We start from the raw sequence: 24,711 nt of genomic DNA, 5'->3' as shown, positions 1-24,711 counted from the left end.
TTTTTCCATTTTTAAAGGAGTCGTTTTTGATTCTTATAGTAAGAGTCAGACCAGGTACAGTGGCTCATGCCTGTAATCCCAGCACTTTGGGAGCCTGAGACAAGAATGTTGCTTGAGCCTGGGAATTTGAGACCAGCCTAAGCAACATGGCAGAACTCCGTCTCTACAAAACATTAGCCGAATGTGGTGGCGCTAGCCTGTAGTCCCAGCTACTCAAGAGGCTGAGGCAGGAGGATCACCTGAGTCTGGGGTGGTCGAGGCTGCAGTGAGCCATGATGGTGCTACTGCACTGTAGTCTGGATGACAGAGTGAGACCCTGTCTCGAAAACATAAATAAAGATAAAAAAGTAAATAAATAAGAAAATAATTTGTCATTCTAAACAAATGTTACTTTTATTTTCTGGGATTATGTAGTAATGAGAGAAGCATATGGTTAAGCAATCCCTTTGACAGTCTACTAATTTGCTTGTTGAGAAATACTAGTTGATTATGTATTATGACAGCTAGCTGTGTGTTGAGGAGCAGATTCGGAGATACATAGATGATATCTAAATACACAAACTTGGGTTGATGAATTCAGCCAGTCAGAGCTATTGTTCAGTAAGGCACTCGGCAACCTGTAAGATAATCATTAAAAATATCAAATAAAGTGTCTCATTTCTGGACCACTATGTCAACATGTCAGTAAAACAAATCTATTAAGTCCTTTGATTGATCTTTCAAATTATATTATAAAATCTACCTTTGTTAAAAGTTTCTTTGGCTCAGATGTGCAAAGAGATTGAACATAAAGTTTCCTAAAATACTTTGTCTTCTAATATTTTCTAATTATCGCAAAATATTTTGAGAATGCAAATTTCATTTAAATGTCAACCATAATTAAGCATGTACCATTTGTTTTTCTACTCAAGTTTCACAGTTTGATGGAATGTTTTCACCACAATTTAATAAATATTTGTTTTATTTCACATGAATTAATTCAAAAGTGTGGATAAGAGCAACATATTTTAATCAACTATTGTTGTGATGGGCTAGAAAATAAATTTATTCACTAAGCAAACTGTTTACTATGCATTTGAATAGGATTTATCTTGCTTAGCATTGGCAGCCCAAGCATACAGGCAACAATTAATAGGAAAGCCAAATATGTATACTGCATACTGAGCAAAGCAACTTATTTTTTCTTGATTGTGTCATAGATCTCTAGTATCTAAAACTTTTAACTATTTACCCCATAATGTCCTGTACCTAGCTGTGTTCCAACAACACCTGTTGAAGTGAAGTAGTAGAGAAATTCTTAGGCTGTGTGAACTATGCATTTGTAATTGGTACCAAATATGTGTTTGATTTTATTTTCAGTTGCTTTCAATATTTTTAATTTGGCATTCTATGTATACATCACGCAGCTACATTTTACAAGTAGTGCTGGAGATTACTGGGTAAATGGGCACCCTATTCTTCCCTTCCTTCCACCAGCCTCTCAAAACCCCAAAGATTTTTAACATCTTCAGCATGATAGTTAAAAATGCCTCCTGATAGATGGGATTAAGAGAAAGATGTGAGTGTTCTTCATCTGGCAATGCAAATGTGTGTGTGGCCAAGTTACTTTTGGCAGAATGCAGTACTACATGTGGTAGTACTTATGGTACTTACGTGCATGTCCAAATGGCACATGTTTATATTTTGTTACAATTTAAATCACATAAATTAGACATACAAAGACAAAATTTAATCATCTTGTCAATCCTTTGCAGTACAAATCAGATTTTTGACTATGCAGTCCTGATAAAATGGCAATTACATTTGAATCTGAGCATAGCATAAATTACTTTTCAAACCATTATATTGAGTACAATATATGTAAAAGAAATGCTTAATTCATTTGCTATGGTTACTTTCTTTTAAAGACTTATTTGTTCTCTGGGTGCACAGAATGATGGGGTGTAATGAAACGGAAGCTGAAAACAGATTAAAAGAGTAATTTCCATGTCAGTGTGCTTTTGCTTTACCTTCTCCTTCTGAAAATGGGCTGTGTATTCAGTGAGCTCTGTTCTTAAGTGACTGCTCAAGCTTTGGGGCATACCTTACTCCAAGTGGGACTTTAATTATTAAATTTTACTTTCTGTAGTAGTATCTGCTATTTTAAGTAGTGAAGAATCCTTGGGTGGAAGCGTAATTTCAAGGAAACATAAAACTGGAAATGGGGGACAGTTTTATAAATGAAGTATTTTAAGTCGACTTATGCAACGAACAGAATTCCAAGGGGATCTTTATTGAATATGGGTTATTATTGACCTCTGAAATCTTTCTCCTATTGCCATTGGCTGTTGCATCTTTGAATTTTCTTAATGGAGGAATTATGAACACTATACTCTGAGATCCTAGAGTGGAGATTCCATTTTCTGTGGATCCCAGGACCTTCGTATAAGCAAGTATGGTTGAAGGTGATATTGAGGAAGTATAACTTTATATCAGGTTTCGGACATAGCTTTTCCTAGTTTTCAAGAAAGCTGAAGTGGAAAAGGAGTTTGGGCACTTGATTATAAATGTAGGGGGGTAGAAATAGGAGTGACATTTCTTGAATACCCGTTATATACCAGACATTCTGGTATACACATTCTCTTTTTTAATATTCTTAGCTTTAAAAAAAGTGGGGAGGAGGGCTTATGATACCGGTTTAACAAGGGGGCAAAAGGAGCATGTAAAATGGAAACAACTTACCCCAGGTCACATTACTCCCAAGTGTTAAGGCTGATGTTCCTTCTTTCTGGCTTTCAAAGCTAGATCTTTTCCATGATGGCATCACAGCCTTTCTCACATGGAGTGGAATATGCCATTCGTTCATGTGAGATCCTGACATGCTGGATATGATGGAGTTCCTGAAACTTCCGTATTGTCACCTGGATTGCCTGATGAGTCAAAGGAGAGAGGGTGGAACTTTGTGCCTGGGGTTTTTGTTTTTGTTTTTGTTTTTTTGAGATGGAGTCTCCCTCTGTTGCCCAGGCTGGAGTGTAGCGGAGCGATCTCGGCTCACTGCAAGCTGTGCCTCACGGGTTCACACCATTCTCCTGCCTCAGCCTCCAGAGTAGCTGGGACTACAGGCGCCCGCCACCACGCCTGGCTAATTTTTTTTTTTTTGTATTTTTAGTAGAGATGGGGTTTCACCATGTTAGCCAGGATGGTCTTGATCTCCTGACCTCGTGATCTGCCCACCTGGGTCTCCCAAAGTACTAGGATTACAGGCGTGAGCCACTGTGCCCGGCCTATGCCTGGGTTTTTGTCTGAAGGAAGGGATATATGCTAGAAAGTAGGTGTGTAATTATAAAATATGTCCAGGAAATCTTAGAAGCTTTTTGTGCTTTCTTTTTTTAACTTATGAGATCTTTACTATGATGGCCTTGTGTTACTAAATTTAGTGAGCATTGGATACTTATAGGAGAATAATGCTTTCTTTATGGACTCCACCTACCCTAATTGAAGTGATGTCTGTTATCACTTTTTAATGCTTAATCATGAATTGTGAAAGTTAAATGTGTTTCATGTGTGGACTTTACTTGAAAATGTGTACCTGAAATGGAAAGTGAAGTACTATTCTCTCCTATTGTGAGAGGCATCTCTTTTCCTATAGCCATGATTTGCTAACTGTGTCCTGTGTTAAAAAACTCTAGTTTGCTTCTCTGTAGAGAATTATGTGTGTCCAGTGGAAATCCAAGTGCCTCTTCTTGGTAGTAAGATGTGTCATGCTGTACAAGTTCAGAAGAGATACAGTAGGTGTCACCTGTCACCTAGCAACAAGCATTCTTCTTTGTGTCTTTAGCTACTTTTCATTTTTAGTCAAAATAGCTATGAAAACGTAGCACTTAGATTTGCATTTATCTCCAGAAATATTTAGATTAACCTTCAAATATTTTTAGTTCCCAAGATAACTCACTGTGACAGATGAAACAGAAATAGCTTTAAGTAGAAGAAAAGCAACTTATGTGGTAGAAACCTTGATGCGCAGAGCAAGGCAAACTTGGACCTGTTACATAACATCACAGACTGACATGCACAAAGCCTGCCTGTCAACTTCCCTAGTTGGCTTTAAAAATTACAGTAACTGAATTGAATATGTATGTAAACCTTTATTAGTTGATTTTTAAAATCGGTGCTGGAAAACACAAGATCATAACTAATGAAGCAGTGATTTGTAAACTTGAATCTAGAAGACAGAATTCCAAATAAGATAACTATATCAGCACCACCATTCAATTCACTCGAAACAGAGCAACTAAATTACCTTTGAGCAGAGAGTGGAATCCCTGGCTAGTTAGATGTCTAGTGTGTTTCTCTGTCTCTATTTAAAGATACATAAAGGGATTCTCAGAGGATCTAGCAACAAGTATACTTATGGGTCCATTTTAATACATTTAAAATGTATTAAACACTAACCTTTAAAGACTGAGAACATAATAGATCATTTAAGATGTGATGAAGAGCAAGCAATCTGGTACTGTAGTATAATATAATGCCTGTACTCTGAGGTAATTGTGACAGAGTAGCTGCTTATTTGTTAAAGTGGATAGCATTCACTTTCACTATGGCCAGGGTCACTTCTGTTGTCCAGGGTGTACTGTCTTTGAGTTATAAAGGAACTTGAGTGATCATATGTGGAAATTTCAAGACAGAAAAAGAGAAAGGAAAGAATTTAAAAATCATTCTCTATTGCTTGCAGCTACTAAAGAGAAACAGGTGTAACTGGAATTTCTCCAGTCTCTCCTCTAAAACCATGAGTATTTACCCATGGTTCCAGGCAGCAATATTTTGGTTTAAAAGTAATCTTAAAATACTTTCAAAAGTGTAATATTTTATGCCTTGCTATTTTTCATGTTTTTCATATTGAAATAAGCGACCAATCCTTTGCTTTTCTTCACCTAATGACAATTGAGAAACATTTTTGAAGCCAGGAAAATGAGGACCAAAACCATGCGTCATGAGCATTTTGATGAGGCCACTGGCCTTTAAAACTTCTGTGCTTTGGGAAGATTTACTGGATAATTTCAGAAACCTATTTGGCAGAGCTAAGTAAATTTAATTCGGAAATTGATGAGCTATTAACTGTTATTGGAAATGTGCCATTTTCCTATTTTATATCATGGCTTGCTTTTGATAGGGATTGGGGGGAAAAACTAAAGGCCCCTTAGCATGAATAAAATTAGAGATGTATCTGTTCTATCATGTGGCCTCCATTTAGAGAAATCTTTTTTATTTCCTATTCGATATCTAGGCTGTTGATTAAAAAGTGGTAATTCTTACACGTATGACATTTAACATTTTACAGATTGCTGTATAAACATTACTGCAATTAGAGTAGGCAAGTATATAAAGCAGGTATTATTATTATTATTATCCTTGCTTCTTGGAGAAGAAAACTGGGCATCAAAGAGGTTGAACGAGTTGCTTAAGTTCACACAGCCGGAAGATAATAGAGGTGAGACTAGGGACAGACAGGTCTTCTCAACTCTAATCTGTGTCCTCATCTGTTACCTTCATTTGTGCTACTTAAAGTATGAGGGGCTGAAAGGCAAGAGATGAATCTTGAACACTCTCTTGGGAGCCTGAATTGGATGGAAAGCAAAAACTAGTTTTGTATCAGGCCGTCCCATGCTTTAAAAACTACAGAAATATAAATTTAAATTGTAGAAGGTTGCAAATGTAGATGGTATGACAAACCACGAAGAGCCATGCCATAAGATTTGGGACTAAGACAGGGGTTTGTAAGAACCTTGACATTATCTGACTTTTTCCTTGGTTATAAAATTTACCTCTGATCAGTTTCATCCTTATGTCTTCTCCTAGTGGGAATATAAATTGGTACAGCTAAGTGCGGTAGTGTAGGATGAGGTTACCTGGGGGAGTGGTGGTTGTAGTTTGCGGTGGGCTCTGCTTGCAGGCCTTGCCTTCTTCCTGATTGGAGGCTCTTTGTGTCTGTCCAGAGGAGGCATCCTTTCCATTTGCTTAAAGGCATCATTCAGACCAGCAGAGACTCTGGTGCACACCAGATTTACACGGAAGGGTGTTTATGTGTGATTCGTAATAAAAGTCACAAATTATAAGGCAAAAGTTAAGAAGTAAATAATGATATATTCCCTCAGTGGAGTATTATGAATTTTTGGATTAAGCATTATTAAGTTTATATGAGAACATGCCTATGGCACATTAAATGAAAAAAATTATAGAACTACCCTGTGAAAAATAATGAGCCAGGTTTTGATGTACCTTGATTGAACATTCGGCTAAGAAGTTGGAACCGATTGGATTAGATATATTTTGAAGACTAGAAAGGACAAAACATCTTTGAGAACACTGTGTGTTAGGTGACTTTTTAAGTATTTCAAAGGATACCATGTTATGGTTTAATCATGTTAAATAGAGGAATTATACTCTGAATTTCAAGAGAATGTTTTTAGTCTGCCACTATAATATTGAAATGTTGGATTCCCTTTTTAGTAGCATGCCTGGTAAAAGCTGTAGTGCATATTAGGGGACATGTTTTGAGACATTGTTATAGCAAGAGAGACATATATATTTAAAACTGGAATAAAATTAAAGGCCAGTTTCCTTCACTGGTCAAGCCTATGGAGCTTGTGAACTCTGCTGCATTTCATTTAAGGCCTTTATGAGTGAGTGAGTTCTTTTCAAATGTATGGAAACATACACAGGAAACCAGGCCCAGTGCTACGGCCCATAGACATTGGCACAGAATGGGCGCTGCTGAGAACTCCAGGGTGTGTCCCCTCTTGAGTGTAATTCCAAATGAAAAATAAAGTCAACTGTGCCTAATAAGCTGGCTCAACTGAATGCCAAAGAAAATTTGCCTCATGAAATGGAAATTCTGAAGCAAGTAACATAATGCTGAGAGAGAATACATAGGAAGACTTGTAAGATATATCCAAATAGGGCAAATGGTCTATTATAATCAGAACTCCCCAGCCCAATAATATTTAATGATTTGGTGATATCCTAATGGTCCTGGAGATTTTGGACCTTTTAGAAACCACATAAATATTTAATTTATATTTAATTTTTAAAAGAAGGGACATATATTAATTTAGATCATTTTTTTAAAGTTACTTGGGTATTGGCTGACATGGAACCACCGAATTTATTTGTATTCATTATTTTGCACATTTGTATCAACTGTAAAGAAACAATCATTTCCCCCAATGAAATGACATTACTTTAAATTCTCTCAGTTGCTAAGAATAATGAAGCCAAGGGTTCCAGTTTGAGTATTTGGGACTTCTCTTTTATACAGGAAATTTACTTATAAACCTTTTTTTTACTTGGCCATTTTCTCCTCAGCTGTCTCTCTCTGTTGCATCCCTTTCTTTTTATTCTCCTCCTCCCTTCCTCCCTCATTTTTGTCTAGGTCTTAATTATTTAGTGCCCAGGATCTTGTCCTAGTGTCATAGCTGGTGTTTTTCCCTCTACTGCATTTTGCCCTTTGATGGCTGCTGAAGAGCAAGCCAACAACACATAGCTGAAGAAAAGATATTCCTCAGCTCTATGATCACGAGCTTAAGGAACTGTAGAATTAAGATGTATTTTTTTCCCCAAAGGAGCAATAACATCAAGTTGTAGAACTTTCTCTCATCATTTGTCTTTGTGTTTTTCTTGCAGGATCAATGTGACTCTAAGAACAAATGGATGAATGAATATCCATATGAAGAGAAAAACAATAAAGGTTGGTTAGTCAGATGTTAAAATTGCATTGAAAATATTGCTACTTTGAGCATTACTTTTGGGCAGTTTATTCTCATTAGAGTACCTTCTTGTGTGAATACGAGACAGAGGTCAGTACTTACATGTGCATATCTATCTGTAAAATGTAATTTTTCCTTTTAGCCCCTTAAAAAATTATATGGAAGCAACTCCTCATTTTTTTCCTGCAAGTCTAGCTGTAATTCTTTTCCAGAACTTAAGCTGGTATTTTAAGAATCAACTTTCAGATGAATATTAAAAAATGGAAAACTGCTTGATGCAACTGATCACTGGTACAAAAAAAGAAGCCAGATTTTTTTTAATATACATCAGTTTTCTACAAACATAATTCTAATACCAGTGCCATATGGTGCATGATTGCTGTCAAATGCAGTCCTATGCCCCTGAAGTCTCTGCTTTTCTCCTAGAAGTAGGATCATCATGGAAAACTTTAATATTTGGTTTCTTACAAATACAGTATGAATGAAAGTGTGGTGGTGGGGGGGGCGCTGTGAATTTCAACAGTCCTCAAATGGTGGGTATTACCTTATTTGTGGTAGTTGAGATTTTCTTGTAGTTTCTACTGGTTACAATGTAAAAATCATAGGTGACACTAAGAGAATTACAATATGTTAAACCATCTCTATTTCGTAAGTAGGGTTTTACACTGAACAGGTCTCATACAGAAGCATGTGCCTCATAATTCCTCATGTAGCTGCTCAGCAATACAATTTCATATTTTCCTTCCCATATTACTCTTGCTGCTTCCAAATCAATGCACAACTTGCTATGTCTTTTTCTGCCAGCCTACCTTCACAGCTACTTACAAGTGATTTTCAAGGTTGTATCTTTCACTTAAATTGCCTTCTTCCATCCTCATTGCTAAAATTGCTCCTTTCTAGTATTTGTAAAGTGTTTAGACCTGTGGAGGCATATTGATTCAGATATTGTTCAAGGGAGACTTCTGCAGGTATCAGTAATGTTCTTTTTCATGACCTCAGTGTTGCCTGTGTGGGTGCATTCACTTAGTGAGGATTAACTGTACTGTGGACTTATTTGCATGTGGATCAGTGGTGTGTTAGTAAAGTGGTTCTCTGGGAGAAGGAGGGGAGAGGAGAGGCCTGATTGTAGTGTTTGTCAATTCCTGTGGTGTAATTATTCCCATTATGGATGGTTTCAAGGCTTTACCACCTGGCTTGCAAGATTCCTTAAAATTCAACAATTGGCTCTCATGAGCAGGGGATGAGCTAGCTCCAGCATACCATTGATAATTCCATTTATACAGTAAAGTTAAAAATTTTATGTATTCCTTAAGACTAGAGTGGCAAAGGTAGTAAATTTACTTTTCTCTATGTAAACATGGAAATGTTCTTTACCTATCATGCAAAATGTATTTATCCCTTTCCTTTAGAAATGATGTTGAGATAGTATTTCTTTATGTTTTTGTTCAGTTGTCATTAAATTTTTATATTTGAAAAGATCAATGTTAGCTTTGTAAGTTTATAAATTTTGGCAGTGTCATGTTCTGTAACTAATTTTTATTATGACAAATGAAGATGATGGCAAAAAGAATCATTGTGTTACTAGTTACCCTGAGGACAGACCCTGAAAATATTATGATTGACTGTAATTTATGTGATTCATTCTGAACAATTGTGCCTTATAGCTCATAATTCATGAATTCAAAAGTCTTTAAGGAGAAAGGAGCAGTGAGTATTTAATTTAATGTGTTTGTCCCATTGAGATGGAGTCTCGCTCTGTCACCCAGGTTGGAATGCAGTGGCGCGATCTCGGCTTACTGCAACCTCTGCCTTCTGGGTTCAAACATTCTCCTGCCTCAGCTTCCCAAGTAGCTGGGATTACAGGTGCGTGCCATGTTGCCTAGCTAATTTTTTGTATTTTTAGTAGAGACAGGGTTTCACCGCGTTGGCCAGGCTGGTCTTGAACATCTGACCTCAAGTGATCCTCCCACCTTGGCCTCCCAATGTGTTGGGATTACAGGCGTGAGTGACTGTGCCCAGCCTCACTGCTGTGTGTTTAAAAAATGATTTTTCATACATTTTATCCATTGTAGATGCGTTTGAACAGAGAATACATTGATGCTTGTTTTTAAGTCTGCTTGAATCAGATGCTGTTAGTTTTAACAAAGTCTGATTCAGGGAGAAAATTGCAGAGTTTGAAAATTTATCTTTTTTTACATTTCAAATACATTGACAAAGTCAATATTAAGACGAAGTTTTTAAAATGTCAGCAGTGGAAGCTGCATTGCCATAGTTGAAAAGGGATTTGAATATGGCTTTTACAACTGTTTTGTACGTTTCCAGTTTGCCAGTGGTGACAAAATCCTGCCAAGAGCCACAGAATATCATGCTGTGCCTTTCTGCTTAGGTTCTAAAATTTAAATAGCCTACTTGGGATTTATAAAATTTCTGTTGTGTCCATACTGAGAGTTTTACTTTCAGGAGCAGTCTTCATCCACCCTTTCCTTAAAAACAAAAACAAAAACAAACAAAAAACAAACACAACTTTTGCATTAAGTTTTTCTTTACTTCATTAAGTTACTTCCTTTACTCAGCTTCATTGCACTTGGATTTGTCCCTTTACCATCTGCCTTTAGAAAACGACAAATAAATTCTAAAAAGATTCCTGTTGTCCATTATTTCCTGCTCACAAATACCAGCATAAAATCTGGTGGATACACACTTCAGCGTATTTCAGCAGTTGTCCTCTCTGTGAATATGGTGGCTTGTTGTGGACCTGGCTCCTTGCTTTGCTTCATTTTTCTTTCCCCCAGCCATTTCAATATGTTTACCCAGTGCTTCTCAGCAGCTGGCTTAGAGCAGGTGTTCAGAACATACCCATCCCACATATACATTAGTCCAGCTTATCAGAGTTCACATTAAAACTTTGCTTTGCGACTACCTCTGATGAACAGCTGCCTAACCACCTAGCATTAGCAGTGGGGTGACTTTTACTTTATGCATTTGGAAATCAAGAGAACAAGAGCAAGCCTTTCTGTGAGCGATTTCATGCCACACAAAAAGGGTTTATTTCATAGTGATGGTTGTGTAGCTTGTGGTTGCTTTAAATTTCTTTTCCAAGTTCCAAGGCTCTTTCTTCGCACAGGATAGAGGGATTGTAATAGCAGCAATCCAGCTTTTCTTCCATTTTGAACTAAGTAGCCATAGCTGCTCCAAAAGCTGCAATTAATGTAAATGAAATGGATTGTTAGCATTGGCTGCTGTAAGTGTATGTAGGGTAGTTGCCTGGACAATAAAAGTGGAATCAAAAAGAGGCAGGCCTTAGCTCTGCAATTATCTGTCTGTTTGATCTGGAACCCCAGTGCCCTCTCCTTTGTGAATTTTAACTTTCTCATCTGCAAAGAGGAACTAATAACACCTGTCCTGCCTATTTCAAGAGTTGCTATGGGTGTGAAAAAAGGACATTCTTGTGAAAAAGGTTTAAAACTGTCAAGTTCTAAAAGTGTGCATGGTATTGATATTATTTGTTTTTTAGTGTGAGAGAGCTTCATGACATTGTATGATTTCACATCACAAAGTCAGACATTTTCAGAAATCGAAGTGCCCTCAAAGGTCATTAATTCTAACATGCACTTGGTGCATGGCTACTATCCGTAAGACTTGGTTGGCTGCATTAGTGTTATGTTGAGCACGCCTTGGAATTTCTTAGTTCGTGTTACATTCATCCTATTTCCAGGCATATATAATCGTACTAAAAGTTTTTTTTATTGAGCCACATCAATAGACTTGATAATGATACCAACTAGTATGTGTATCATAGTATTTATTAAAATATCGTCTTGAATTGGGTCACTCCTTTTACTGTCAAGTCACTTCAGTGTTGGGTATCTTATTTATCTGGGAAATGGGAACAAAATGATATGCAGAGATTTGGGAAAGATTATGGAATTATTGAAGGAGAGAAATAGCTTCATTATTTGAAAAGATGATGCGTTGCTCATTTTAAAACCATTAAAGCATGCAAAGCCCCATCATCTCCGTGCCTCATATCTTCTGTTCATATTCGGTGAACATTATTTATAGCTTCTCTGTGTACATACATACAAATAATTAGAAACGGTTTTTTAAAAATAAGATCATATTTATACCTTGCATCTCTTACAAAGAATATTTTTTAGTTTGCTTCTGATGGAATGAAAAAAATAAGAATTGAATTTAAGCCTAATAGATTAATTTCATATTAATATCCTTTTACCAAAATGATATTATTAACAGTTAATTAAAAAAAACCCAAACTTTGAATTCTGTTTTTTGAAATGACTGAATTTAACTTGAAACAGAATCTTTTGACTTTTTGTTAGAAAGATGGGAAAATTAACAAAGTTTCTTCCTGACTCCCTTTTTCCTCTTTTTGTTTTACTATTCTTTTAAAATTAAGGTTATTCACATTTATTTTATGATTCTTAATTGTAATTATCAAAGCTATGTAGTATTATTACTTCCCTCAGAAATATGGAGACATGGCTTCCCTGTCATCTGGCATTTGGTGTCACTGTGAAGTTTGAAGCAAACTGATCTTTTCACTTGTTCTTGTTTTGTTTTTTTTGTCCAGGATGCTAATGAACAATTTATTTTAAACCTGAAAGTTCAGGAACTTCATCAATTGTTTTACTTTTTGTCATTCTGTTCCATTTTTTCTTGGATCTTGCTCTTAATCTCTGAGAAGTAGAGTCTGTTTTTATGACAGGAAGTTTTAAAATTTTATTTAAAGTACACTATTTTGTTCTTCTCTTTAGTAACCCTGATAATATGTGTGATGTTTCTCCTTGATTTTCCATATCTGTGGCCTTCATCTTTAACTTTTTAATTTCACTCAGTGTGCTTTCAAGTTGAACTTTTTAAAAAACTATATTTTCAGTTAAATTATTTACTTTTTTGTTCCCAAGGTGGCTATATTTCATAGCTATGTCGACTTATTTTCGTTTCTTTTAGTTTTCTGTTATTGTATTACGTGAACCCTTGTACTTCCTGAACTTACACTTGTACCTCTGCCTTGAACTTTTTTTTTAAAGAAACTTTTATGTGTAATTATTTTAATTTTTTGGAGTCTATGAAGAGATATTTGTCTAAATTCCTCATCTGTTTGCTTGGGTTATTTCTCCTGTGATTGTTCTTCATTGGCCTCTTGCTTACATTTCTCTCTGGCTTTTGGTATTTGCTGCTTTTACCTGCAGTTCTCATGGACTCTCCCTGAGTATCGCTTATCTTTATATGGGGCTAGTGTTTGCCAGAGCACAGTATCAGCAGGAGCACTGGTGATTTGGGTATGAGCTAGTGAGTGCAAATCTTTGACTTGATTTTGTTATTTCAAATACTGTGTAAATAAGGGTGTCATTTCCAGAGTCTGCTCTGCTTCCATTGGACAGCAGTGCCCCTTAAGTGAAGGGCTCCTGTCTTCCTTCCTTCTGCCACGTCATGAGGGAGCGCATGAACCCCTTCATGAGGGAGCTAGGCTCCACAAAAGGCAGTGCCTGTGTGTTTGTTCTTTCAACAACACTTTCTCTGCTTTCTGAGAAATTGATCTGTATTCACTTAGTCTGATGTCTATCGTAATCAAAGGGTCATTGAATAGGTCTTGTGTAACTGTGATTTTTACTTTTAGGAAATTCTGTGTTTTGTTTGAGGTTTGAGGAGCTGTTTGTCAGCTCCCAGTTGCCTCTCACATTTCACAGTATTTGACAGATGTGCTTTGATTGGGAATTTGAGTTTGTGACTTTTAACTCTCACTAAAGGTGGAGGGTTTATTTTTTATTTTTTTATTTGCTTTGCCCTTTTTCAGTGGGTTTTAAAAGAAGGCTGTAAAAATGCCTTTACATTGCCATTTTGAATAAGTAACCTTTTAAATGGATTTAAGGGGCACATGGAGAATATTGAACTTGCTGTGGTGTTTAAAAAAATGACTTTGTACTCAGATTGTCTGGTTTCCATCCTGGTTCTGCCAGTGTTCAACTTTGCTTGTATATTTCAGTTGCCATGTCTGTGATATGGCAATAACAGTAATAGTTCCTACTCCATAAAATTATTGTGAAGGTTAAATGAGAAAAAAATTCTAAAGCATTTGCATATTGCCTGGTAGTTACTAGTGCTCATTAAAATAGCTGTTTTTATCATTTTAAGCTGTGTTAGTCATGTTTACAGTATAGTCAGTTTAGCTTTAGGAAAATTGGCTACTTAGACCAGCATTTGTATATTTTATTTCCTTTGACTGAAGAGCATGCTGGGATGGGTACCAGGTGTTCTTCTTATATGGCAGCTTCTGGTGTTGGGGTCTGACTGGGGACTTCCAAATTGTTCTACTCTGTGTTGATAAAGAATAGAATCATCGCCAATTCTCTTGGAGGAAATAACATTGGATATGCTGTGGTAGTTGGGGCATATGTTATTGGTTCACTTACAGAATGTTGGCAACTTCTGTCCTGTGGTGTTGCAAACACTACAATTCAAACATATATTTAGCATTTATTATTTGTTAGACACTGGGCTAGAAAGACAAATTGTATTTAGACTCTGCCTTGAAGACTTCATTATCTCAGAGATGGGCAGATAAGTTTCTACAGTTGTATGTGATTGGTGCCATAATATATTTATTAGAGCCAGGGAATTGGGATGTGGGTTCTGGAAGGCTTCACATTTAAAGTGACATTTGAGCTAGACCTTGAGTTGCCAGTATGACACTGACTGTAAGAAATGGGAGCAGCCAAGAAAAGTTAGTTTAGAAAAAATTCTTAGCAAATGCAAAAGGGTGTATTTTTTCTTTGGGCACAAAAGTGCCCTGAAAAATTTCTTCTTAAAGATAAATGTGTGATAATCAATGATTCCAGGGGATCTACTGGAAGTGGCAGAATGAAGGAAGACAGGAGCCCTTCTCCTAAGGGGCACTGCTGTGCCATGGAAGCAGAGGGGAGACTCTGGAAATGACATCTTTATTTAGACAGTATTTGAAATGACAAACACAAGTCAAAGATTTACATTTCGGCCAGAATCTGTTGAGGCTTATTTCTTTTTCTACCTTCCTCTCCTTCCTTGTCTCACTCTCACTCTTTCCCTCTCTACCCTCCCTCTCCCTGCAGTTCCTCTTTCCTCTTCCCCCACTTCCTCTTTCCTCCCACTTCATCTACCCCCCCACTTTCTCTCTCCTCTCCCACTTCTTCTCTCCCCTCTCCAATTTCCTCTCTTCCCCTCACTTCCTCTTTCCTCCCACTTCCTCTACCCCCCCACTTTCTCTCTCCTCTCCCACTTCTTCTCTCCTCTCTCCAATTTCCTCTCTTCCCCTCACTTCCTCTCCCCCCACTTTCTCTCTGCCTCTCCCTCTCCCCTCTCCCACGTCTGCTCCCTCCCTCCCTTCTTCTTTTTCTCTTCCCTGTTTACACATTTTCATTCTCTGGCCACTTGATTATAGTGGTTCTTCAGCTAAGCTATTTAGAGTACCTTACCAAAGTAATTATTATATTTTACCAGAAATTTTCAAGAGTGATCATAAAAATGATACAAGTGTCTTTCAAATATCATTTTAGTTAAAATTTTTTTACTTACTGAGAACATTATAGTGTTAAAGCAGCATAGTAATTGATTATTAAAAACATTTATTGAAGTATAATATCTATATAGTTTTATGTATCAACAGTTGTATATTATTTTAATAAGGCAGCTTCTTCCCTTCTCTTAAGCTGATGTTAGGTGAGAATTTCTTACTTTTTCTAAAGAATTTTATTTAATAATGTTAATAATTATTGACTCAAGAAGTGTGATTTTTTGTGTCTTACACGTAATCAGTTTTTCAGTGTATCTTATAGTCTAATGGAGTGTAAGTTTCTCAAAATTCCAATTTAAGAATCAATTGATTATTCATATTTAACATGCTGCTTCAACTATTTGTGCTTTTAGAGCAAGACACTTAATATGAAAGTGAATTTATTTTTATTAAAGGCTTTTAATTTGTTTTCTATGGCCACTGTAACAAATTACCACAAACTTAGTGGTTTTGAAAAAAAAACACAAATTTATCTTACAGTTCTGGTGGTCAGAAGTCCAATGGTCTCACTGGGCTAAACTCAAAGTATTGGGAGGATTATATTCCCTTCTGGAGGTCCTAGGACTGATTCCATTTCCTTACCGGCCTCTAGAGCCTACTCAGGTTCCTTGGTCCATTCAACTCCAGCAGCTTTGGGCCAAGTCCTTCTGGTACTGCCATCTCTCTGGTTCTCCCCTTCTACCTCCCTCCTTCACATTTAAGGACTATTGTGATTACTTTGGCCTATCCTAGATAATCCAGGATGATCTCCTTATTTTAAGGTCAGGTGATTAGCAACTTTAATTCCATCTGTGACTTTCATTCCCCTTTGCCATGTAACCTAACAGATTTCAGGGATTAGGACATGGACATCTTTAGGGGGCCATTACTCTGCCAGCCACAGGTTTTCAAAAACGTAAGTGACTGTGATTGCAGGTACATGTTACCTTTGTCATAAACATGTGGTTGGGAATTTTGAAAGAATTCTCATTTTGCTAATTCCATTAATAGTCAAGCAAATTATGATTTATGTCAATCAAAATATAATTTTCTTCCTTCTTGTGATTGGAAGAAAAAAGTCCATTCAAATCACTTTTGCAGCTAAATGAAGCAAGTGATAATATTAAAATTTCCCATTATAAAAAATCTAATAAATATCTAATTTTTTGCAAACAGTAGATTGTTTACCACAGTTTCACATGGTGATACTATGGTTTTATGTGCCTTCAAAGCTAGATGAACTACTTTTAGAATTCATCAGACCTTTTGGCCTAACAAATTTTCCTTTGTTTTTGAATGTTGTTATTTGTAGCGTATCTGATAAAACTGAAATCTAGTTTCAGGAAACATGTTTGGTTATCTCGTTAAAAGCTCTTGAGGTGATAGCATGCACTTACTTACAACCCATACACTTACTAAGACATCCTGTATCTCTTGCAGCTGTGGCTCCGGAGCTGTATTTAAAGTTTAGTTAATACCTAGCCAGCAGCTATCTATTGAAATTAACAGATAGGCTAGGGCTGTTGCCTCTTTCAGGGTAGTGAGATCCTTTAGATTTCAAAGAACTTTTTCTGGGGGAATTTTTTTGATTGTTTTTGTTATCAAAGTGAGGAAAAGTTCTGTATAGCTTTTTCTTTTCATCCGTCTTCACACAGCAGAGAGTCTAAGGGGAGCAAAATCTGTGAGAGGGGCCTTTTGCAGTTTTAATAGCTTCACATCTCAGGGATGACTCCTTTAATTTAGAGTGCTAATAGCTGGCATCTAGGGGAAAATGAAAGGCCGCTTGACAATGAGAAGCTGGAAGATTGAGAGCAAACACATGGAGAGTCGTTAGAGCCAGGACTGTAAGTAAAAAGGGGATGGTAGTTACACAGAGTCTGGGGTTTGGGACCCTGAGCCTGGTTTAAAGCCTCCTTCTAATGTTGCACACTGTGATAATCACTGGTTGTCGGCCTTGCACCCTTCTGCCGTGAGTAATCCCTTTCCCTGTTTTCAATCATGTGCACTCAAATTGAAGGGTAGGTGTTCCTTTTTAACTGAGAGTTGAGTGTCCTTTTTAACTGAGAGTTGGAATCTGGGCACCTTGTGACAACCACGATTTCATCATCCATTGCTGCAAAACAGAGCATCCCAGGTTAGTGGCTTAAAGCAAAAGCAGTATGTGTTTTGCTCTTGAAGTGGCTACTTGGGTAGGACTTGGTGGAGTCGGCTTCTCCTTGCTCTGCTCAGTGGCTGCTGAGGTTCAAAGGCGGATGACTGCAATCATGAAGACTCTCGTCGACATGTTTTCCAGTTAGTGCTGGCTCTCAGCCAGTCTGTTGGCTGCAACGCCTTCATGTGGCCAAGGCTTCCTTAACAGTAAAGCTGCGCACTGGGGAAGGTGGGTGGGGGGATAACACCAGGCAGAAGCTGTGTCACCCTTGGAAGTGATGCCATGTGATTTCCCCCATATTCTGTTCATCCAGGTGATTATAAAGACAGGCTCATTAATTCAAAAGGAGGGGACATATCCCCCACCCCTTGATGGGAGAGTGGAAACATTCTGGAAGAGCACATGTGACTGGAGATACTGTAGTGAACATTTCTGGAAAACAGCATCAGCTACAGTTCATCTTCAAACTGGAGGAATCCGTAACGTTTTGTTTTTCTGGAACTAGTTCTGGTGCCAAATTCTGTATCAGTTGGGGTGTGAAAAGAGAAACAGAATGAGGGGAAAGGTGCCGAATATGGGACTTAAAAGGACTTGACCTCCTATGATGGTAGGAACTAGTTAAGCACATTATATATGGCTGTTGCTTCTATATATTTGGCGCCAGAGCTGAAATCACCAGGGCTAGCAGTCGGGAAGGAAGGATGAGAGTGGAGCGCAGGAGAGGAAGGCCACACTGGATGTACAAGGGCACATGCCAGTCCACATAGACCCTCACTGATCATAAGCCTCTAACTTCAGAGAGGCCAGGGAACTGTGGGAGAAGCTGGCACCCTTCCCTGAGCAAGACGCGTCATGGCCTATGAATAAAATAAGCAGATGAAGGCAATCCCGTGGACCAGCCGCTTCCCTGTGCCAGCGAGGAGAGCAGGCACATAGGCGACAGTGTGTGTGAGCTGCACCTTCCCAGTGTGAGATGCATGCGGCAGGTGCTTCACTACTGCCCCGAGTCCCGCCAGGGTGGCTCTTATAACCCAAAAATGATGGCATGCTGCAGGGAAGACAGTTCTGAAAATGTAGACATGTAGTTGAGATAGTTCAAATCCACCACCAAGTCTTTCCTTGCCTCTTCTCTGCCATTTCACTTGCAGCTCTACCTGCTTGCTGTCCTCCCCACCCGAGGATCTTATAGAGGATTATAGACCTCTGTTGGTTCCTGTTCTTTCCTTGATTTTCCCATTTCTGTCTGAAGCACTGCTCCTGGGACCCACCCTTGTAGTGGAGAGGACAGTGCTGTCACATGAATGGACGTCTCCACATGAGGAAGGCTCATCTGCCCTAGAATACCACCTGCCTGGATTCACTGCTTATGAATTCTGCACGACTCTGAGAACCTGCAAGATTATTTGTGGCCTCTTCTTGCTTTTTCATATGGTACTTGACTCAGTTACTGCTGTCTGTTGTGGTTGAGGCCACTCTGCTCCCTGGATTTGGGATCTTGACTGCCTGTCTATAATGCCATAGACCAGTCAGGCTGGGGCCAGGGCTTTGTGGCCTCAGGGATTTGTGATTGAGAGTTTAGGAAAGAGAAAACATAATATGAGGAAAAGGAGGATTCTGATTTTGTACATGATGGAAATATGTGAATAATTGGGACACCAGGGACTTGTCCAGATAGTAAAGTTTAGAGCAAAGTTATGAGCAAGAATGATAGCAATAGTTTGTATGCAGAATATGAATGAATAATATAAAGGCTGGGAGTAAGTTAGAGGCAAGATTGGCAGGCAGTAACTGGGAGGACACGGTGCTGGAGAACACCCGATAAGCAGGAATGTAGTTAATTCAGACAGAGGTTCACGAACCAGAAGGCACTGATACTGGAGAGAAGAATGGGATGGGTAGTGAAAGGTCCGTGCTGACATCACTAAGTTGAATCATGCTGGCACCAAGAAAGGTGGTGGCATAGGGCAGCTTCTGTACAGCAGGGCTGGAAAGCAAGTGGCTTTTTAATCGCATGTTAAGTCTTAGACTGTGCCAGGGTTGGTTGCCTGGCGTTCTGGTTGAGCCATAGTACAGGACTAGGAAACCCTGTACACTTGAACTTCCAGGAACAAAGATAAAGGGATTCCTTGGTGAGAGGAGTGATGGTAGACAGGGACAGGGTGCGAGCCTCATACTGGATAAGTATTAAGCTGCCTTATAGAGATCTTTTCAATGAATATTTGAACAAGAGGATGAATGAAATGTGAGTAAGAGCAAAAGAAGGAGAATGAGAGAAAAATGAGAATGAATTTTACTTTTTTTTCTTTTTTTTTTGGAAAAAAAGTGTTAAAGAGTATGATTATATGTGACAGAAGAAAGAAAAATGAAATCCTGAAATAAATGAAAAGTGGGTGACAGAAAACCTGAAATACTGAACATTTCTTTTATTAAGATAGAGTTTTCCAGTATGTGGTAGATGAGGGAAAGGGTCTGGTTTACAGGACTTAACTATGAGAAAAATGGCAAGAGAGGGATTTTCCTAAGCAGTTACTCTCCATGGCTAGGCTGATATCTTGGTAAAAATGCTCTGAATGTACTGCTTAGGCTATTGCTAAATATAGTAACAAATATGAAGAGTGTTTTTTTCCTATACCAAGTGTATTTATGATTATAAATCTACACATTTGTGATAACCCAACAATTTTATAATAAGGCATCTAGCAACAAGATTTCTTTTTTATTTTTTAATGGAAGATATCCTTTCTGACAGTTGTCTTTGCCTAAGTGTACATTTACCTTTCAATGATGGAAGATATCCTTTCTGACAGTTGTCTTTGCCTAAGTGTACGTTTACCTTTCAATAATGGAAGATATCCTTTCTGACAATTGTCTTTGCCTAAGTGTACATTTACCTTTCAATGCATATGGGACCAAGAAAATCCCCAAAATGGAACCTCCTCCTCCTCCTTCATTTCTTTTAGTTTGTTGAGTGTTCTGAGGATTTTCTTAACCACTTTTCCTTGTGCTTTTTGTATTGCAAATTAAGTTTCTATTCATGCCTTAAAAATAAAATAACTGCTTCTGTTGTGTGATGAGCATATCACCTTAATAAAGCAAATCCTAGTCAATGAAGTTAATGTTTTTCAAAATCAGACTTTGAAAGTTCTTGTTTAACCAATTAAAAGAATTAATCACTCTAGTCAACAAAGCACAGGGGAGATAATTTATTAAGTATTTGAAAGATAAAAAAGAATATATATGTATTGACTGTGTAAGTTGTAAGCCATGATAACAGAGAAACCTAACTTAAAAAAGTAGATTGTTTCCAGTATTTTTTTTCAAGACCCCTTTTAGTCCCTTTCTTAGCCTGTCTGGGCTGCTGTAACAAAATACCTTAGACTGAGTAATTTATAAATACTAGAAATGTATTGCTCAGAGTTTGGAAGCTGGGAAGTCCGAGATGAACTCTCCAGCAGATTCAGTGTCTGGCCAGGGGTTACTCTTAGCTGCATTTTCTCTTGGCAGAAGGGACAAGGCAGCTTCGTAAATCACCTCCTAAAAGGCACCGCCTCTTATTACCACTGCAGTGGAGATTAGGATTCAACACGAATTTTGGAGGGACACATTCAGACAGTAGCAGTCTCACACATAACCATTTATCCTGAATTTTGTATTATAATTTCCTTTCTTTTCATCATATATAAGTACATGTTCAAACTATGTATCATTTACTTTTGTTTGTTTTGAGACATATGAATAGTACCATACTGTTTATATTTTTATGATCTGCTTTTTTTACTTGACATTGTTGTTTTTGATATTCATTCACATTGATGCGTATAGGTAAGATTATTTATTTCCACAAATGAATAGAATTCTATTTTATGACTACACCATAATTTATCCATTTTTCAGCAATGGACATTCCTATTCTTTTAAGCTTTTTGCTATCTTAAACCTGCTATGAAGAGTCGTTTAAATGTGTCCTGGTACAAATATAGAAGATTTTCTCTGGAATATATACCCAGAAGTAGAATTGCTGGATTGTAGAGAAATTTTCAACTCTCCTGGATAATGTCCAATTGTTTTCCCATGTAGTTGCAATAGTTTTTTGTTTGTTTGTTTGTTTGTTTCTGAGACAGGGTCTTTGTCTCCCAGGCTGGAGTGCAGTGACACAAACACAGCTCACTGTAGCCTCAACTGCCCTGGCTCAAGCAATCCTCCTGCCTCCATATCCCAAGTAGCTGGGACTTCAGGCAGGCATCACCACGCCCGGCTAATTTTTGTATTTTTTATAGAGACAAGGTTTTGCCACGTTGCCCAGGCTGGTTTCGAACTTCTGGCCTCAAGTGATCCTCCTGTCTTGGCCTCTCAGAGTGCTGGAATTACAGGTGTGAGCCACTGTGCCCAGCCTGCAACAGTTCCTAAATAGTACTGTTTAATAGTCCCATTTTACCACGTCCGTACTAACTGTGGGTGTCTGCTGACATTTGAAGATTTTTCAATCTGGTGTGCGTTAAATAGTGTCTCACTGTAGTTTTAATTGCATTTTGTTATTAATGGTTCATATGTTTATTGATTATTTGGACTTCAGCTTCTTTGGAATCATTTTTGTCTTTTGACCATTTTTCTATTGAATGGTCATCTTTTTTGGTAGGGATGATGGGGTAGATATTCAGGATTGATTAAATGTATAGAAATTATTTTCTCTGAGATGGTAGATTTTTACTTTTTATTTTGATTTAATATTTAGTTTTGTTGAATTTATAAATATGTTTAATGCTTTTTCTATTCAACTTCATCATGATAATTTTATATCCCACTGGGATATGTTTAGTAATATTTTATATAGGATATTTGCATCTATTTTCATAAGTGAGATTGGCTGTAACTTTTAAAAAAATATTCTGACTGGGTTTTGGTAGCTATGTTAGAATCTTTTTCTATCTTTTGGAAGAATGTGCATAAACAATTATCTACTCTTTAAGGATTTGGTAGAACCCATTTATCTGGGATGAGTGGCTTTTTGTGGGTAAAATTTGAACTTAAAATTCAATTTTTAATGGTAATAAGACCAGGTTTTCAGTTTCTTCTTGAGTCAGATTTGATAAATTGTATTTGGTTTATTGTAAGCTTTCAAATGCATTAGGGTAAGATTGTACTAGTTTGCTAGGGCTGCATAACACAGTACCACAGATTTCATGACTTAAACAACCGAAATTTATTTTCTCACATTTCTGAGGGCTAGAAGTCCAAGATAAGGTCTCAGCAGGGTGGATTTTTTTCTGAGGCCCCCTCTCTGGCTTGGAAATGGCTGTCTTCACCCTGTGCCTTCACGTGGTCTTTTTTTTCTGTGTGTCTTTGTGTCCTAATCTCCTCTTCTTATAAGAACACCAGCCATTGAAGTAGGATCTACCCATATGACCTTATTTTATCATAATTACCTCTTCTGAAGTCCCTATCTCTAAATAGAGTCTCAATATTCTGAGGCTCTACAGGTTAGGACTTCAACATATGAATTTCTGAAGGGACAAAATTCAGCCCATAACAAAAATGTTCACAGTAGTCTATTATATGTTTAACCTCGCTGTATCTGTACTTATGTCTCCCCTTGTGCTTTATTTAGTTTATTTCATAATGATTGATTGCTTTTACATTATTTTTTCATTTGGTAAATATTACCAAGGATTTGACAATTTCATAGTCTTTCCAAAGCATTTCCTTTTGTTTATTTCCATTGTATCTTTCTTCTCTATTTTGTTAGCTTTGTCTTTTTCTTAAAATTTCTGAGTTTATTCTCATATTCTTTGTCTTCTAAATTTAGTTGCTGAGAAAATTAATCTTTAATTAAAAAATTTCTCTCCAGACAGCATTAGCTGTATTCCATGATTTGTGTGTGTGTGTGTGTGTGTGTGTGTGTGTGTGTGTGTGTGTGTTTAAAAGCAGACTGTTTTTAAAAGAAATGTTAGGTTCATAGCAAAGTTGAGCAGAGTAAGTAGAAATTTCCCATAATTGCCTCTGCTCCGACACACATGTAGCCTCTCCCATTATCAACATACCCCACCAGGATGATACGTTTATTACAGTTGAGTGAGTAACCTACCTTGAGGTATCATTATCACCCAAAGTTCCTGGTTTATATTAGTGTTTCCTCTGAGTGTTGTATATTCTACGGGTTTTAACAAATGTACAATGGTACATATCCTCTGATATAGTTTCATACAAAGCAGTTTCACTGCCATGAAAATCCTCAGTGCTCTTCCTGTTCATCCCTCTGTCTCCCCAACCCTTGGCAACCACTGATTGTTTTATTGTCTTCATAGTTTTACTTTTCAAGGATATTGCATAGTTGGAATTATAATAGTGTGTAGCCTTTTCAGATTTGCTTCTTTCACTTAGCAATATGTATGTAAGTTTCCTTCATGTCTTTTCATGACTGATAGCACACATTTCCTTTTAGTACTGAATATTTCATGGTCTGGATGTCTCAGTTTATCTGTTCACCTACTGAAGGATACCTTGGTTGGTCCCTACTTTTGGCAACTGTAAGTAACACTGCTATTAACATCGGTATGCATATTTTTGTGTAGATATATATAAGTTTTCAACTCATTTGGCTAAATACCAAAGAGTAAGATTACTAGATCATTAAGCCTGGAACCTGGACTTTGGGAGGTTAAAAAATAAAAAAAGAAATGATTGGTGGATCCTAAGGTAAGAGTTAGTTTACTAACTAGGAGTCTAACAAACTGTCTTCCAAAGTGGCTGTTTCATTTTGCTTTCCCACCAGCAATGAGTGAGAGTCCTTGTTGCTCCACATGCTCGCCAACATTTGGAGTTGTCAGTGTTCTGGATTTTGGTTATTCTGAGCGTGGTGTTGTATCGTTGTTGCTTTAATTTGCATTTCCCTGATATCATATAATGTGGAATATTTTTTTCATATGCTTATTTGCCATCTTTATATCTTTTTCAGTGAGGTCTCTGTTAAGGTCTTTGGGACATTTTTTTACACTCTTTTTTTTCTGAACTTTGCGTTCTTTGCATATTTTGGATAACGGTCTTTACAGATGTGTCTTTTGCAAATATTTTTCCCCAGTCTGTTACTTATCTTTTCATTCTCTTGACAGTGTCTTTCACATAGCAAAAATTTTTCATTTTAATGAAGTTCAGCTTATCAGTTATGTCTTTCATGGATTGTGTCTTTGGTTTTGTGTCTAAAAAAATCATCTTTGAACTGAGGATCATCTAGATTTTCTCTTAAAGTTGTTTTCTAGGGTTTTAGAGTT

The 24,711-nt window shown here is 37.4% G+C and overlaps 1 protein-coding gene across 18 annotated transcripts in view; it reads left to right on the top strand.

Annotated features, from left to right (window-relative positions):
• Positions 1–24,711, top strand: part of KLF12 (KLF transcription factor 12) — a 619,957-nt gene that overhangs the window by 303,330 nt on the left and 291,916 nt on the right. For 14 of the 18 annotated variants that reach the window (NM_001400153.1, NM_001400139.1, XM_011534909.3 and 11 more), the window contains exon 2: positions 7,663–7,726. The exons of 2 other annotated variants lie outside the window; for them this stretch is intronic. In NM_001400153.1, the coding sequence (NP_001387082.1) occupies positions 7,694–7,726 (33 nt within the window). In that variant the 5' untranslated portion in view covers positions 7,663–7,693. Of the gene's footprint in view, positions 1–7,662; positions 7,727–23,885; positions 23,971–24,711 lie in introns of those variants that run through there. 2 more of the 18 variants (XM_011534907.3, XM_011534908.4) reach the window with 1 other exon arrangement.

Source organism: Homo sapiens, chromosome 13 (assembly GCF_000001405.40).
Source record: "Homo sapiens chromosome 13, GRCh38.p14 Primary Assembly".
NCBI classification, from domain to species: domain Eukaryota; kingdom Metazoa; phylum Chordata; class Mammalia; order Primates; family Hominidae; genus Homo; species Homo sapiens.
Note: the sequence above shows the minus strand (reverse complement) of the source record. Positions and strands in the feature narration are given on the sequence as shown.